Genomic DNA, 17,526 nt, shown 5'->3' with positions numbered 1-17,526 from the left:
AAAGAGACAAAGAAGGCCATTACATAATGGTAAAGGGATCAATTCAACAAGAAGAGCTAACTATCCTAAATATATATGCACCCAATACAGGAGCACCCAGATTCATAAAGCAAGTCCTGAGTGACCTACAAAGAGACTTAGACTCCCACACATTAATAATGGGAGACTTTAACACCCCACTGTCAACATTAGACAGATCAACGAGACAGAAAGTCAACAAGGATACCCAGGAATTGAACTCAGCTCTGCACCAAGCGGACCTAATAGACATCTAAGAACTCTCCACTCCAAATCAACAGAATATACATTTTTTTCAGCACCACACCTATTCCAAAATTGACCACATACTTGGAAGTAAAGCTCTCCTCAGCAAATGTAAAAGAACAGAGATAATAACAAACTATCTCTCAGACCACAGTGCAATCAAACTAGAACTCAGAATTAAGAATCTCACTCAAAACCGCTCAACTACATGGAAACTGAACAACCTGCTCCTGAACGACTACTGGATACATAACGAAATGAAGGCAGAAATAAAGATGTTCTTTGAAACCAACGAGAACAAAGACACAACACACTAGAATCTCTGGGACGCATTCAAAGCAGCATGTAGAGGGAAATTTATAGCACTAAATGTCCACAAGAGAAAGCAGGAAAGATCCAAAATTGACACCCTAACATCACAATTAAAAGAACTAGAAAAGCAAGAGCAAACACATTCAAAAGCTAGTAGAAGGCAAGAAATAACTAAAATCAGAGCAGAACTGAAGGAAATAGAGACACAAAAAACCTTTCAAAAAATTAATGAATCCAGGAGCTGGTTTTTTGAAATGATCAACAAAACTGATAGACCGCTAGCAAGACTAATAAAGAAAAAAAGAGAGAAGAATCAAATAGACACAATAAAAAATGATAAAGGGGATATCACCACCGATCCCACAGAAATACAAACTACCATCAGAGAATACTACAAACACCTCTACGCAAATAAACTAGAAAATCTAGAAGAAATGGATAAATTCCTCGACACATACACTCTCCCAAGACTAAACCAGGAAGAAGTTGAATCTCTGAATAGACCAATAACAGGAGCTGAAATTGTGGCAATAATCAATAGTTTACCAACCAAAAAGAGTCCAGGACCAGATGGATTCACAGCCGAATTCTACCAGAGGTACAAGGAGGAACTGGTACCATTCCTTCTGAAACTATTCCAATCAATAGAAAAAGGGGGAATCCTCCCTAACTCATTTTATGAGGCCAGCATCATTCTGATACCAAAGCCGGGCAGAGACACAATCAAAAAAGAGAATTTTAGACCAATATCCTTGATGAACATTGATGCAAAAATCCTCAATAAAATACTGGCAAAACAAATCCAGCAGCACATCAAAAAGCTTATCCACCATGATCAAGTGGGCTTCATCCCTGGGATGCAAGGCTGGTTCAATATACGCAAATCAATAAATGTAATCCAGCATATAAACAGAGCCAAAGACAAAAACCACATGATTATCTCAATAGATGCAGAGAAGGCCTTTGACAAAATTCAACAACCCTTCATGCTAAAAACTCTCAATAAATTAGGTATTGATGGGACATATTTCAAAATAATAAGAGCTATCTATGACAAACCCACAGCCAATATCATACTAAATGGGCAAAAACTGGAAGCATTCCCTTTGAAAACTGGCACAAGACAGGGATGCCCTCTCTCACCACTCCTTTTCAACATAGTGTTGGAAGTTCTGGCCAGGGCAATTAGGCAGGAGAAGGAAATAAAGGGCATTCAATTAGGAAAAGAGGAAGTCAAATTGTCCCTGTTTGCAGATGACATGATTGTATATCTAGAAAACCCCATTGTCTCAGCCCAAAATCTCCTTAAGCTGATAAGCAACTTCAGCAAAGTCTCAGGATACAAAATCAATGTACAAAAATCACAAGCATTCTTATACACCAACAACAGACAGAGAGCCAAATCATGAGTGAACTCCCATTCACAATTGCTTCAAAGAGAATAAAATACCTAGGAATCCAACTTACAAGGGATGTGAAGGACCTCTTCAAGGAGAACTACAAACCACTGCTCAAGGAAATAAAAGAGGATACAAACAAATGGAAGAACATTCCATGCTCATGGGTAGGAAGAATCAGTATCGTGAAAATGGCCATACTGCCCAAGGTAATTTACAGATTCAATGCCATCCCCATCAAGCTACCAATGACTTTCTTCACAGAATTGGAAAAAACTACTTTAAAGTTCATATGGAACCAAAAAAAGAGCCCGCATCACCAAGGCAATCCTAAGCCAAAAGAACAAAGCTGGAGGCATCACACTATCTGACTTCAAACTATACAAGGCTACAGTAACCAAAACAGCATGGTACTGGTACCAAAACAGAGATATAGATCAATGGAACAGAACAGAGCCCTCAGAAATAACGCCGCATATCTACAACTATCTGATCTTTGACAAACCTGAGAAAAACAAGCAATAGGGAAAGGATTCCCTATTTAATAAATGGTGCTGGGAAAACTGGCTAGCCATATGGAGAAAGCTGAAACTGGATCCCTTCCTTACACCTTATACAAAAATCAATTCAAGATGGATTAAAGACTTAATCGTTAGACCTAAAACCATAAAAACCCTAGAAGAAAACCTAGGCATTACCATTCAGGACATAGGCATGGGCAAGGACTTCATGTCCAAAACACCAAAAGCAATGGCAACAAAAGACAAAATTGACAAATGGGATCTAATTAAACTAAAGAGCTTCTGCACAGCAAAAGAAACTACCATCAGAGTGAACGGGCAACCTACAAAATGGGAGAAAATTTTCGCAACCTACTCATCTGACAAAGGGCTAATATCCAGAATCTAGAATGAACTCAAACAAATTTACAAGAAAAAAAACAAACAACCCCATCAAAAAGTGGGCAAAAGACATGAACAGACACTTCTCAAAAGAAGACATTTATGCAGCCAAAAAACACATGAAAAAATGCTCATCATCACTGGCCATCAGAGAAATGCAAATCAAAACCACAATGAGATACCATCTCACACCAGTTAGAATGGCAATCATTAAAAAGTCAGGAAACAACAGGTGCTGGGGAGGATGTGGAGAAATAGGAACACTTTTACACTGTTGGTGGGACTGTAAACTAGTTCAACCATTGTGGAAGTCAGTGTGGCGATTCCTCAGGGATCTAGAACTAGAAATACCATTTGACCCAGCCATCCCATTACTGGGTATATACCCAAAGGACTATAAATCATGCTGCTATAAAGACACATGCACACGTATGTTTATTGTGGCATTATTCACCATAGCAAAGACTTGGAACCAACCCAAATGTCCAACAATGATAGACTGGATTAAGGAAATGTGGCACATATACACCATGGAATACTATGCAACCATAAAAAATGATGAGTTCATGTCCTTTGTAGGGACATGGATGAAATTGGAAATCATCATTCTCAGTAAACTATCGCAAGAACAAAAAACCAAACACTGCATATTCTCACCATAGGTGGGAATTGAACAATGAGATCACATGGACACAGGAAGGGGAATATCACACTCTGGGGACTGTGGTGGGGTGGGGGGAGGGGGGAGGGATAGCATTGGGAGATATACCTAATGCTAGATGACGAGTTAGTGGGTGCAGCGCACCAGCATGGCACATGTATACATATGTAACTAACCTGCACATTGTGCACATGTACCCTAAAACTTAAAGTATAATTTAAAAAAAAAATAGTTAAAAAAAAATAAGCAAACCAAAACTAGCAACTGGGCCCGTGATGACATAGTGATCTATAACTCAGGGGCTTTTTTTGTATTTCTTTATGAAATGGTTGATTACAACATACTACCATCTTCCATCGAGGTGTTCATTAAATGCACCTTTCAAAAGATTAAAAGGCAAAGTTGGGAACCTGTTCATATAGACTATGAAAAGTAACGATGGAAAAATATGAGTTATATTAATTTCTGAAGAAAATTTAAACATAGGAAAGTAAGAGAAGAATATGAGATAAGGTGGCTTGGGAAGGACATTATAAAGGAGGGAGCATTTAAACCAGAGGCTGAAATGGAGCCAAGCAGTGACAGCATTGATGACAAATGGCTGAGACAAAGGGAACAACATGGGGAAAGATTCTGAGTGGGAAAAGAGTCTTAGTTTATTCAAGGAAATATAAGGCCAGTTGAATAGAATGAGAGCCACTGACACATAAATATTGCAGAGACAGGCCAAGATCACATTATTTGGGTCTTATGCGTCACAGAGGTAAATTTTCATTGTATATTAAGAGCAAGAGAAAGTCACTGAAAGGTTTTAAGCTTGGTACAGGGATGCAATGTGATATATATTTTTAAATGGCATTCAGGACTTTCAGATCTAGACCAAAAGATATACTTTTTCCTAGCCCTCCTGCTATGTTCAGCCTAAAACTCTAGATATTATACATAAAGCAAACACAAGTATCCTCTGAAAGCTGGAGAGATGAAGACAGGCTGCTAGGGACCTCAGCCTCTGAGGAACAATGCAGCAATGAGTTCCCTGGGTTTTCTTTTCACCTTATACATCCCAGATTGGGCACTGGAGAAGCAACTACTTTGGAAATGCCAACAAGCATTGACAAAAAAAAATATCCAATAAAAAGTAAAACAAAAAGCCTTTCTGGCTGCTGAATGGAGAGTGCATTAGCTGAGTGGTAGAACCCGTGGAGAAGATGCTGCAATAGCCTAGGTAAGCGATTTTGGGAACTTGGTTTGAGTGATGGCTGTGGTGAGGCGAACACCTGTGGGATATAGTTTGGAGGCAGAACCACTTGACTTGTTTTTTGCCTACACATGGGTAGGGTGAAGAGAAAGGCCTTCATATGAATGAGACACAAACTGTAAGAGTTTGAGTGGGAAATTATCAATCTCTGTGGAATAAGATAGGCGAGCTAAAACAAAACTCTTTTCTCTTTATGGTTGACAAGACAGATCCATCAGGAGAGCATGAATGGAGGCCAGTCTATTCATAGTGATGACAAAAATAGTAAAAGCTCAGGCTCAACAGATGGCCTTATGTTTCATATCAAAGTAAATAAGGGCAATCTGGATTAAAGAAATTGGAGTTAATATGAGACTAAAAGCAGTGCCTAAGAAGGGGCTCTATTGAACAATGCAGAATGCAATGTCATCAATGAAAGCTGTACAATTAACTGAATAGTTATAGGAATAAATATAGTGATCAGAAAAAGTGAGGACAAAGCAAAATATAATAGGAAAATGAAATTTTTTTCCTTTAAAGAGATAATCTTTTAAAGACATTTTTGATTAGAAATATAACATCCAGACTATTTGGAGTTCTACTGTCTCTTAGAAGTAATAGAAAAAAGTTGAAGATCCCTGAATAACAATGCAATATACATGAAGAGTTGAAATCACTTGATGTTTTAATTCATTTTAGGTAAGAACACTAGAACAAAACTAGATTAATTTTATTGTTCTTTTGACAATGCATTTAATTTGGTTTATTTATTAAAATGTAGACAGGCCCAAAATGACAATTCTCAGACTCAAAAGGCATCTAAGAATTTAACTAGGCAATTTTGGAAAATGTATTAAAAAATGTGTCGATTCACCTGCTCACCACCCTGATGTGACACAGCTGTTAAGTTAAAATCTGGATATTTTTCTGATAATCCAGTAACTGTTTCTACTTGCTTTGGGTGAGCAAGAAGGTCCAGTTTAGCACTGCATATAGATCCCCTAGCCGAAAATCAATAAATCAATCAACCACTCCATGCACCTTCTAGTGGACTCAGGAGTACTCTGCTCACTAGTCCCTTAGAAAATAGTGTATGAAAAATGTTGACAGAAGGATCGCGGAGAAAATCCCACTCTCATCCTGCCAATTCCTAAAACCCTCTAGTTTATAACAATGAAAACAAATTCCTTTCTATGAAATTTTAGGGAATTGGCCTAATCCAACTGAGGTTGTACACTAGGATAAAAGAAAAAGGATAAAATATCACTGTTAGAAGCTTTCTAGAGTTGTTTACCTATGTTCCCAGAGAACACTTTGGGATTTTTAAGGCAGAGAGTATGATTTCAAACATTTCTTTAATAAGGAACTTAAGGAACAAAAACTGATATCTAAATTCAGATAATAGTTACTCTAAATCTTTTTTTAATGGCCAGAATTCATCAAGACAAATTCATTCAATTTCAAATTTTGATTCATTTGCCAAATGTACAAATCACCAGATCAGTTTCAAAGTTACCCTTTATGAGGCCCATTTAAAGACTAACTTTTAAAGTACTACAGTCATTATCATTAGTAATAAAAGGCAATAGTTGTTACAAATAATAAAAAATCTCATCTAATATGGCTCTAAAATAATGCTCAGAGAAACAAAGTAGAAAAAATCAGCAAAAGGAAAGGAAATAAAACAATTAAAGCTTGCAATTGTGAAATAAGATAGGAAAGCTAAAACAGAAGTCTTTTGTCAGGACTGAGTTGAGTCTGAATTACAAGTAGGATGTAACTATGGAACAAAGCAACATAAACAGCAATGGTAATCTGGGCACTCCTGTAAACTAGATTAAAAGGAGAGTCAGAAAAGTGAGAGAGTTAGGATGCAGTCCAGGAACTTTGTGAATGAGAGGGAAGCTTTTTAATTAACATTAAAAAGGATGGATATTTCTTTCAATGCCTTTAAATCAAAGCACAGGCTTTGATTTTCTTTTTAATCACTTGATATTTTCCTTTCAATACTCTAAACGCTGAAAGAAATGCTTCGATTATAAAATGCTTTATATAATGTAAATTCCTTGTAACCTACAGGGAATCCTTGTATGATGGGATTTAAAGAAGATGCCGATTTATGTTCTCGAGAGATTCTGATGGCTCTAGTGTGGACAGATCATAGAGGGGTCAGAAACCAGTTAGATATTAGCACTTCTTAGAGAGAAATGACAATGCTCTGCTGACCATGTTAGTGGGAGCAGAGAGAGAGAAAGGGAAAGAGGGTGAAGAAAACACCAGGAGGCAGGAGCTCTAGATGACATTTCTTTGGGGATTGAGAGGGACTTGTTAAAAGGTGGTACCACTTATTAAGGTGGGAATAAGGGAAAGAAATTCCATTGTGTGAAGATTGCTAAAGAATCAGTATTAGCCACAATCATTCTAGAGACTTGATTTGAATCTAAGTGGGCTAGAACACTTTCACAGACTTGCTTCCTGTTTCCTGGCCAGTGGCATTATCTCCTCCAAGGGTAAAGTATTGAATTGGTCAAGCATTAAAAAGACAAAAGGTTTGATTATAATGCCATTATGCAGTTACCCGATATTAACATACTTCTGTTAAGGTCTTAAGGTATTTTTGTTCAGGGGTCAGTGAAAGTCCTTAAAGAACCAAGAGGTAGAGGCAGATATTTAGGAATTTTGACTCCTGGCTTGGGATGGTTAGGAGGCTAATCAAAGTCTACTAGGAATCTTAGTGTCAGGGAAGGAGGGTGTGCACAGATATGACCAAATGATAGATATTTCTTTCAATGCCCTTAAATCAAAGCACATGCCTTTTTAATCACTTAATATTTTCCTTTCAATACTCTAAATGCTGAAAGAAATGCTTCGATTGTAAAATGCCTTATAAAATGTTAATTATCATCAAGTTTTCCTCAAATGAGATTGTTTCTACTGAGAAAGAAAAATATTGAAAAGAATTCAGCCTAAAAGAGATAGAGCTGTCAATCTTTAGGCTCTCTATTGACCTTTACCTTTCTATTGACCTTTACCCTTACAGCTTTGCTTTCTGGTCTGGGACACACCTCTAACCTGTGTGAATTACCAGAGTATAGGGACACCTTCAGGCAAGACTACAGTCCTGTCTTTTGAGACAGGGTAGGCCTAAAATTTTTCAATTAAATGTGCTATTACAAAATTTATAGCACAAAAATACATGTAAGGCAGCATGGAAGAGGAGGAAGTCATTCATTAAAAGAGGAAAATCAAAGTCTCTAACTACCCAAGAATAAATCTCCTAAGCCTCAAGAAACAGAAGGTAAAAGGTTTCCCCAGCTTCCAAAAATATTGTCTTCAATCGTTAACATTTAGCTATGTTTATGTGAATCTTTTAATCTTCCATTAATCCTTGTTTTGTCTTATTTATTTTAGATTTATCTCAAAAGCATCCAAGAAAGATTCTGGCTGGGTTAACACTTAGTTGGTTGCTGTGATTACAATTTAGCTGAAATATGCAGAGACAGATTGCACCCAGGATATATTGAAATTCAAATTCATAAAGCAAAGGCTTAATATCCAATAGTCTTCTCCTAAACAATCTATTCCAACTTTTGTCATTTAAGCTCAGTCGTATGTCTTTTTAGAAGTGATTTTCAAATGTTGAATTTGTCCTTGTATATCTATACATGAAGATGCAGTTTATGTAAACAGGTTTGTTCTGTGACAAAGAAAAAGTGAAGCCAATTCACTCAAGGATAACAGTAAGGTATATCTCCAGGAACCCAATATAGTTTAAAAAATAATAATGGATGTCTTTCATAAACTTGTCCAGTATAAGGGCAATGTGTAATTTTCATTGAGTTAGGCCTTATGCACACAGGTCAGAGCACAGAGTAATTCCCACCCTGTAAGACTTCTCCCAAGACGTCTCACAGTGACACATACAATAGAGTAATTCCTTGGCTGGTTGCAGCTCAGAGCAAATCCGTAGAAAGATCAATTCTTGCTACTTATAGCTTTCTTTATGATGAACGTTGGGGGAAATGAAGGCACGAAGCTGACAGGTTGACTGAGGCTCCCTGGCATAAAGAGTTAGAAATTTAATAATTTTAAAAAGTATCATTATAATATAACAATAGCTCTCTATGATGTTGAAATATGTATATATTTTGCTTTTGTTGGTGAGCAAGAGGGCCTGATCAAACTTATAAAAAGCAGAAAATAATTTCTTTCAAAAAATTATTATACAAATTTCCAATCTTTCAAAAATTATTTATATTTGCAGTAAATCACCAGTATATGGTAACTTATATTACACTTATTCTTTCTATATCATTTTAGATAATATCATAACAGCAGATTTATAATCATGAAAATTACAACAGGGTGGGGTGTAGTGGCTCACATCTGTAATGCCAGCATTTTGGGAGGCCGAGGTGGGTGGATTGAGGTTGGGAGTTCCAGACCAGTCTGGCCAACACAGCAAAACCCCGTCTCTAATAAAAAGTACAAAAATTAGCCAGGCGTGGTGGCACACACATGTAATCTCAGCTACTTGGGAGGCTGAGGCACGGGAATTGCTTGAACCTGGGAAGCAGAAGTTGCAGTGAGCTGAGATAAAAAAAAAAGAAAGAAAGAAAGAAAGAAAATTACAAAAAAATAAGGGCAGGTAATTACTGGGTGGCTTCCCCTCCCCCATGGCCCTTACTCAAATTACTCACATTTTAGCCACAAAATGTCACTTCAACTTTGTTTAAAGGTTTGGTTGATGACTTGGTGTTTGTGAGATAATGTTGGATGCATTGATTATGTCTTCATTTTTTAGTTTCCTTGGGATATTGAACCTATGTGACTAATTTGTCAGAGGCATATTTACTAGCATAGAGTCAGTCAAGCAGGAAATCATGCATGATTCTAGATCCTTTCGTTGATCTGAATTAATCTTTGAGACTCTTCCTTCTCATTGATTAAAGAGGCATGATTAATTCAGAGTTTCAGTACTATACTGATTGGGCTCACTTGATAGGGCAGATCTCCATGTAAATTAGCCAGCTTTACTGACCCAGAGTTGCAGAATGAACATAAGGTGTTCAGTTAGGATGAGCTGACATGTATGCCTTTGGTTAGACAGAGGCCAGAAGGAGGGAGTATGACAATATGAGAAGAAATATATTCTCATTGCTGGGGGAAGGGGAGACCCATGTTTTTTATCGTGTGTCAGTAAGTTCATTTTTTCAAAGCACTTGGCTATTTCCTAGGCTCTTGTACCAATTAGTTCATTTTTCAAAGCACTTGGCCATTTCTTATGCTCTTGTACCAATTTACAGGAAATTGTATTTTAAACATTCTTCCCACAGTATGATTATATGAGTACTACAGAGCCGAGCCTCCCATAGATCCTTAATGAATGATCTCTGAACAAACGTGCTGCACACTGTGCTTTGAGAAAGCCAGGTAAGCTTGGGACCTGGTGGTGTGCTCAGAAAGTGTTGACACAGAAGAAACTGACTCCATGAATTATTAATGTTTCCTACAGCCTGCGGAGAAACAAATAAAATAATTTTCTCTTACCTGAAAAAGAAAAAGAAATGGACACAACTGAACAAACTGCATTAAATTCTACCTATTGCCATTTATAATAAAAATATTTAAGAAATTAAATATAATTTATAAAATCTTAGAGTTGGGCAGAAGATTGAATTGAAGGTAGTGGGAAGCTCTGAAATCCAAACTTGCATATCTGACATTTTGTTACTCATATTCCTTAAACAAGGAGGTTGAAATAAAGATACACTACTAACCATTTCAATGTTTTACATGCTACCATGAAAATAAATTGCTAGATCTATTTTTTAAGTTATGCATTCTATAATTAAAAATCAACTTATACTTCTTTGTTGTTGCTAACTACTATGGTGCCTGGTTAAGTTAATCACACATTAGAAAATATATAACAAAAACATAACTGAGAAATTTTAAAACTGTAATAATTTTCCATGGAGTACATATCCTAGTAGGAATATAAACTTGGATTTACATCATATCCTTGTCCCCCACTGACTGCAACACCCAGCAGAGGTTCCTCCCTTTTACTGCAAAGGGATTCAAGATTAATTGGGACTTCCAGATCCAGTGTCCATTGGCTAGCCAGACTGCAGGGCATCTCACGTCACTACCATCACCTCTGCTACTTATCAGATCCCTTGTTCCAAGCGCTGCCTGGACTCATACTTCCCTATGTCCCCTTCCCATTAGCCCCCACAAGCTCTAAATTGAAATTTGGTAGCTTGCCAAGGACTTACATCAGTCTCTCTCCGGTGATAGGATTCTGCACTTGTGCTTTCCACATTCACTTTGTAGGGAATCTTGCTGGACAAGGATAGCTACCTTTGAACTTTATCTGCCACTTGTTGGAATCACAGTATTAAACAACATCATCTTTTCTTGAGGCCACAACTGCAAATGTTGATAACTCAGTCAATACCAACTGCTTCTGACAGTATCCTAAGGGCCCCTTTTGGTAATGGACACATATTGCCCAGTCAGTTTTACCCATTGCAAGTCTCCAGGCTTCCTCCTCAACACCGAGAAACCAGCACTCTTTTCTGCCCAGTAATTACCTGACCTTGAGTAATTACCATAGCCAAACACACACTGCGAGTTGCTTCCTCATGAATGCCTAGACAGATACCTAAAACTTTAGGCACTAGATTCTAAAGATGTTATGAAAAATAGCTTTTTCAAAAAGATAATTTCCTAAATAAAACTTCAATGCAGATGTAATTATAAATATATGTACTCTAATTTAAAATTGTTATGTCAACTAAAGTTTAGAACGTTCCATAGAAGGTCCACAATTATATGGAAAATTCCATTGAGACTGAATTCCTTGATTTTCCTTTCTAGTTCTCCTTTTAAGATTGAAGGGGAGTTCCCAAGTATGGTTCTCTTGAGTTTGTTGAGCATTGCATTATTTTCTTTTTCAGGGGATAGTGCCCTTTGAAACAAGACATGTAAATATGTCAGTAGGCTTCAGCTATAGCAAGAGTTTCTATTATTTTTTTTAAAAAAACATATTTATTTAATCATAGACTTAGGAAAGAAATATATAACACTATAGTGTGATACATTAGGCATTTTTAAATTAAGACATACTGGAGAGTAGTGTTATTTACATGAAAAACCCCAGGCTTGCCCAACCTCTGCTAGTCCTTGTACTTATTAATGATGCCACAGATGATGGCTTCCATGAGGTCAGTGGCTAGAAAATACTAATCTGCACAATCTTCTCACTAAGGAAGTACTCTCACTTCCACTTTGCATAATCAATATTTTCCTGTACTAACACCTACTAACTGGCTTTTTATGTAAGAGAATCTATTGCTTTCACAGCTGTCACTCTTTGCAACTGCCTCTTGAAGTTAACAGCTGGCTCTAAAATTTCGTGCAAAAACAGCCCCCTTCCTTCACACCTTTCTATCCTGATTGCTGTAGCTCAGGCTTATTTTTCTCATTTTTATGGGTTCCCAGATGTCTACTGGCCCTGCTACAAAGTTGAAAAGCACTTTCAGTGAATCGAATATTAAATTCCAATTGTTTCTTTGTATGTGTGTATGCAGTATTTGTATGATGTTTCCATTTGGTGGGATTTTTCTGTTGTCATCTACTGTCCACAATTTTTAAACCCAGTACACTGACTGAATTAATAAATGCTTATTTGGGCTTGCTATATTCCAGAAATTGTGGAAGGACCTTTCATATACTTTATTCTACTGTGGTTAGCAGGTAGCTACAGCATGGGGCAACAGGCAGTATTCTCAGTTTTCCTTTTGGATGACATGCTGTTTAACATCCATGAGAATTGTAACAGGTGCAGGTGTATTAATCTATAAGGCAAATAGAGTACTTTCATCAGCACAGCTTTCCTATCCAAGAACAAACGCACTGTGTTAACAATGCTGTATGAACTTTCAGCTGTGTTTAGAACTTCATGCTATTTTACACATTTTGATCTATTGTGTGCTGAAAGACAGCTTTTTCAGAGATTCCTTTTGTTAGAATTTTTTTGGAGAAATTATGTATTGCCCACATGATGGTTTAAAATAATTAAATTATTATATTTAATAAATACATTTCATTATTTTATATATTTATTGAACAGTCTGAACAGCAGTATCAGGTCTTGTGCAATGACTGACAACACCGCAGCAAAGTAAATACATAGAGAAACATCTAGATGTAACTTCTAATATTATTTCTGGAAATTTTATTAAAGCTACAAGTGAGATTAATAAAGCAGACTGAATAGTACAGAACCAAATACATAATTATGCATTATACTACTAAATAAGATTGTTACAGAATATCACATTTGTAAAGGCTCAGAGGTCAGCTAGTTCAGGTTCTCTAACTCAGGTCTGCAGCTTCTTGGAGATCCATGCTGGACTTTTCATTAGTATGATGTAGAAATAAGAAAAAAAAATGAGGACATACATTTTTCAAAATGTGAAATGTAGTTGCTTTTTAAAGTGTGAAAATAGCAATTCTTTAATAAAATGCTGGTGTAAGCAGATATTAGTTGTGGTGGTGGTTGTTTAAATGGTTGTTGATTCTGTGCCTTTTCTATTTTTAAAAATTATACAGGTATATAAAACCCCAAAGCCTGGCAACACCAAGTGACATCTCCACTCTTAATTCTTAATTTTTCACTTTTTTTTTTTTCACAGAACAGAAACAACTTCCACAGTCTCTAGTCTCTGGACATTTCTTCAGTAACTTGAATGAATCAGCAACATGAACTGAAAACTTTGGATTCCACCTCTGCTTCCACTGGGAGGCATGCTAAGTGAAACACTTTGGCAGTGTAGACTGGCCTTTGTCAGAAGTGGGTTACTATGTAGTCATTAATGAGTAGACATAAAACCAAAGAAGCATTCAGTTCAGAAAGGAGAAATAGTCCACAGGAGGGAATGGATCACCACAGTACCCACACACATTGATCCAAATTCCATGAATTTCATGAGATTCAATTCTGGAAGCTAGGAAATATTAACAATATAATCACTGAAGCAATTTGAAGTTGGACTGTTGTTCTGAATGGTGGGTTCTCAGTGGCAAATTACAATGATAAAAGTGAATTTATAGAGTTTTAGATTTAGACTATTCACTAAATCTAAATTTAGTAGACACTTACTACAATATAAGGCAAAAGAATGAATAGAAATCAGCATCAGTAAAAATGGAACAACTTAGTACATGTTCCTGGTGAGCTCTCTCTCCCCCAACCTTTCCCAGCCCAACGAGGGCACTGTCCACAGCTAGACTGAGGGGATGCCCAGAGATTTCTGTGTGCTCCCATGATACCACTCTTCTCTGCCTCTCCACTGCCCCTGGAGTCTCCCTGTTCCCCATGCACAAACTTTCTATGATTTGCTTATTCCCAAGAAGGAGGCATTAATTAGGGTTGTTGACCTTCACTTCTAATCAATCACCAGGTCTAGACCCATCACACCTTGCAGCTTTTTTACTCTGGTCACAATCAGAAGTCCACAGCTCCTATGCCATCCCTTTTCTCAAGGACAACTCTCTTCACATTTCTCTGGATATCTTCTAATCTCACTTTATCTCCCACTATTTAATACGTCCTAGACTGTTCCTCTGTGTCTGTCATCAGAAAAATCCTTTATTTTCTAACCTATTTCCTGAATGTTCCTGTATTAGTCTGTTCTCACACTGCTAATAAAGACATACTGGAGACTGGGTAATTTATAAAGGAAAGTGGTTTAATTGACTCACAGTTACACATGGCTGGGGAGGCCTCACAATCATGGTTGCAGGCAAATGAGGAGCATCTTACATGGTGGCAGGCAAGAGAGCTTGTTGGGGAACTCCCCTTTATTAAACCATCACACCTCATGAGACTTATTCACAATCAAGAGAACAGCATGAGAAAAACTCACCCCCATGATTCAATTATCTCCACCTGGCCCCGCCCATGACACGTGGGGATTATCACAATTAAAGGTGAGATTTGGGTGAGGACACAGCCAAATCATATCAGTTCCCATCACATTCTTGCTCTAGCTGAAATGGTTCTCTTTTGACAACATGTATCTCAACTGTGGGCCTAGACTCCTGTAACTATGCAATTTGTATCATTTGTATCATTACCCAACTTGTAAAATGGTGTTGTGTTTATCATACGTAGAATTTTGTTTTCAAAACTAAACTTTTTATAGAGGTAATTTTATGGTGTTTTGAGATAGAAAAAGGATTAACATTTTACAGTGCCTTTAAAGTCCCATTGTGTTCTCACCGCTGAAGAATATTATGTCTTACTGCATAGCCCAATTTTTACAACCCATAAAAATGTTAATTTCATTGAATCCAGCAAGGATTCCTAAATTGGCTTAACAGGTCCTTAGGTCAATTATAAATGCAGAAGAGAATCAGAATATGTGCAAGATGAAAACCCTACCTTCAAGGAACAATCTGGATATTGGAAATGTTTAGTGTGTTAAACATGCACAATGACTACAATAAAATCTCAAATTCTTGGTTGTCCAGCACATCATGTCTGGTTTAGAGAAGCAGTTTTTATAGGGCACAGTTTTAATGATATCAAGTCTATTTTTTATTCTGGATAGTTTATGTTTTGCCTAAATAATCTAGATTTTCCCTGTGGATTAAAGTAGACTGTCATAAAGGGTAACCTTGGGCCATATGTTCTTTACTTCCCACAGATCTTCTTCTATTTAGTTGTATGCTTTGGTGTCACACCTTAAATATTGTTGAAGATTATACTAGATATTATTTTAAGGACTATGATAATGTGTACGTTGAAGAGATGTTAATAAAGTCACTGTCCATCCACTGTATGAGTGTCTGTTATAGAAAGTCCCCAGTAAGGTGATGTTCCGAGATAAACTTTTCTTTGCATGGAGGTTCAGTATATTTTCTATGCTTCATACAATGAAAATCATATAAATGATATGTTTCTTTGTTATTGTGGACAACAGGAAGCCCAGAAATAAATGCTAATATCCACTATTAGGAGCTACATAAAATCTTATGGCTTGCATGCTTGTGTTCTATTCTTTCCTTTCCACAACTTTAATATTTTTGGTTCTTGAATTTTTAAAAATCCCTTTTCTTATATGATCTCTGCCAAATTATTTTTGTAATAAAGGGAGAAATTAAGTAAGTGAAAATATAGGCATTAGATATTCCACATTTTTTGGACATCCTCAATTTTATGTAATATTATTTTCAATGAAGGTGATTTATTAAATAAAAAGCTTAAAGAGATTTAATATTAATATCTGAGAGTTCATAAAAATGAATTATTCAAAAATCAGATTAATGTTGTCCAGATTTGTCACTTGGTTTAGTATTGTGTTTAATTACTTATATATTTTTGGTTAATTATAGTGACTATATTGATAAGTGGCCTTAAAAGCATATAGCATAAATTAATTTTACCAGTCAAAATGTCTACTTAAATTTAAGTAGAAAAAATCTTTTTGAAGAATATATAAAATAGAAGGAACATTTTCTAGTGCTTATATATTGCAACTGAAAAAAACATAAAGACAACAGATTCCAATTCATGGACTTCTTTCTTTAACAGAATTCCTAAATCACTTTAGTCCAAGGTTTATATCTTTAAACACCCTACCCTAAAAGGAAAAGATATGTTCACATAGACAATGATACAATTAACTGCTGGTAACTTAGAAGTCAAGATCAATGCAGAAAACAATATAACTGCCTCCACAAGCCAAAAGAACAGTAGGTAGGTTAACAGAGATGGAATCCCAAGCATAATGACCTTAGTAATCACACTAAACTAGCCTGCCTGGAACCTCTGATTCCTGACACTTTATTAGATTACTTGAAAGAAACTTGGAAATTTAGATTGCCCCTAATTTTCTAAATTAGCAAGTCAGCCAACCACCATTACCCTTATAGCTCATAAAATTTCCAGTGGACATCTGAGAGTACTTTTTTGTTTTCAGTTTAACTTTAAGAAACTAGAATCTACAATCAAATTTAGAATTCAAATTTTAAATTCAAAATGCAAATTTGTCTTCCTTGGACAAACATCTTCATATTCATTGCCAACTTTTTTTTTTTGAATGGAATCCTAGAAGTAAAATTTCACTGATTCTACGAACCTTTCCTCTAAAACAGTTTTCCCAAGAAAACCTGCATTAAGAGATCAGTGTGCTGTCTTACTCCTGGACCATCAATGCATATTCTTGATCATTTTAAATATTTTGCCAATCTGATCTGTGAACAGTGATAACTCATTATTTTACATGGCATTTACTTGTGACATTTAACATATTTTCATTATTGGTCATTTGTATATTCTTTTAATAAAATTTCCCTTTTGTTCTGTTGAACTATTTTTCTCTGAGTGTGGTATTTGTTTTACTATTCATTAGTGTCTCTTGTGTTGAGAAAATTTTAATTTATAAATAAGCAAATTGGACAAAATTTTCCTGTGTGGATTCTGCTTTTGCTCTTTGTTCTTAGGAAGATCATTCCTACCCAAAGACTGTACACATACAATTATATATTATTTTATGATGCTTAAATTGATTTATGTTTAGGTCTTTAGACCATGTAGAATTCATTTTTGCATGAGGTAAATATTGTTTAAACAATACCAAAGAACATGTATGGGGTATTTACCATATATCAGGCATTGGGCTACTTATTTTTAACGGATTACCAAATTTAACCCTCCCAACATTTATACAAGATTTT

General features: G+C 36.2%; 1 protein-coding gene across 31 annotated transcripts in view, besides 2 other annotated features; it reads right to left on the bottom strand.

Moving 5' to 3' along the window:
• The window catches only part of DTNA (dystrobrevin alpha), a 398,533-nt gene that overhangs the window by 335,701 nt on the left and 45,306 nt on the right, over positions 1 to 17,526 (bottom strand). The gene's annotated exons all lie outside the window — the stretch shown is intronic.
• Positions 6,531 to 7,086: an enhancer, noted in NCBI's record as "OCT4-NANOG hESC enhancer chr18:32129022-32129577 (GRCh37/hg19 assembly coordinates)". NCBI's record gives its function as "activates a minimal SCP1, AML or CMV promoter by ChIP-STARR-seq in naive H9 embryonic stem cells {active_cell/tissue: H9 hESC(naive)}" and the evidence as "EXISTENCE:reporter gene assay evidence [ECO:0000049][PMID:30033119]".
• Positions 7,087 to 7,643: an enhancer, noted in NCBI's record as "OCT4-NANOG hESC enhancer chr18:32128465-32129021 (GRCh37/hg19 assembly coordinates)". NCBI's record gives its function as "activates a minimal SCP1, AML or CMV promoter by ChIP-STARR-seq in naive H9 embryonic stem cells {active_cell/tissue: H9 hESC(naive)}" and the evidence as "EXISTENCE:reporter gene assay evidence [ECO:0000049][PMID:30033119]".

This window comes from Homo sapiens, chromosome 18 (assembly GCF_000001405.40).
Source record: "Homo sapiens chromosome 18, GRCh38.p14 Primary Assembly".
Classification (NCBI taxonomy): domain Eukaryota; kingdom Metazoa; phylum Chordata; class Mammalia; order Primates; family Hominidae; genus Homo; species Homo sapiens.
This window is presented reverse-complemented; position numbering and strand designations above follow the sequence as displayed.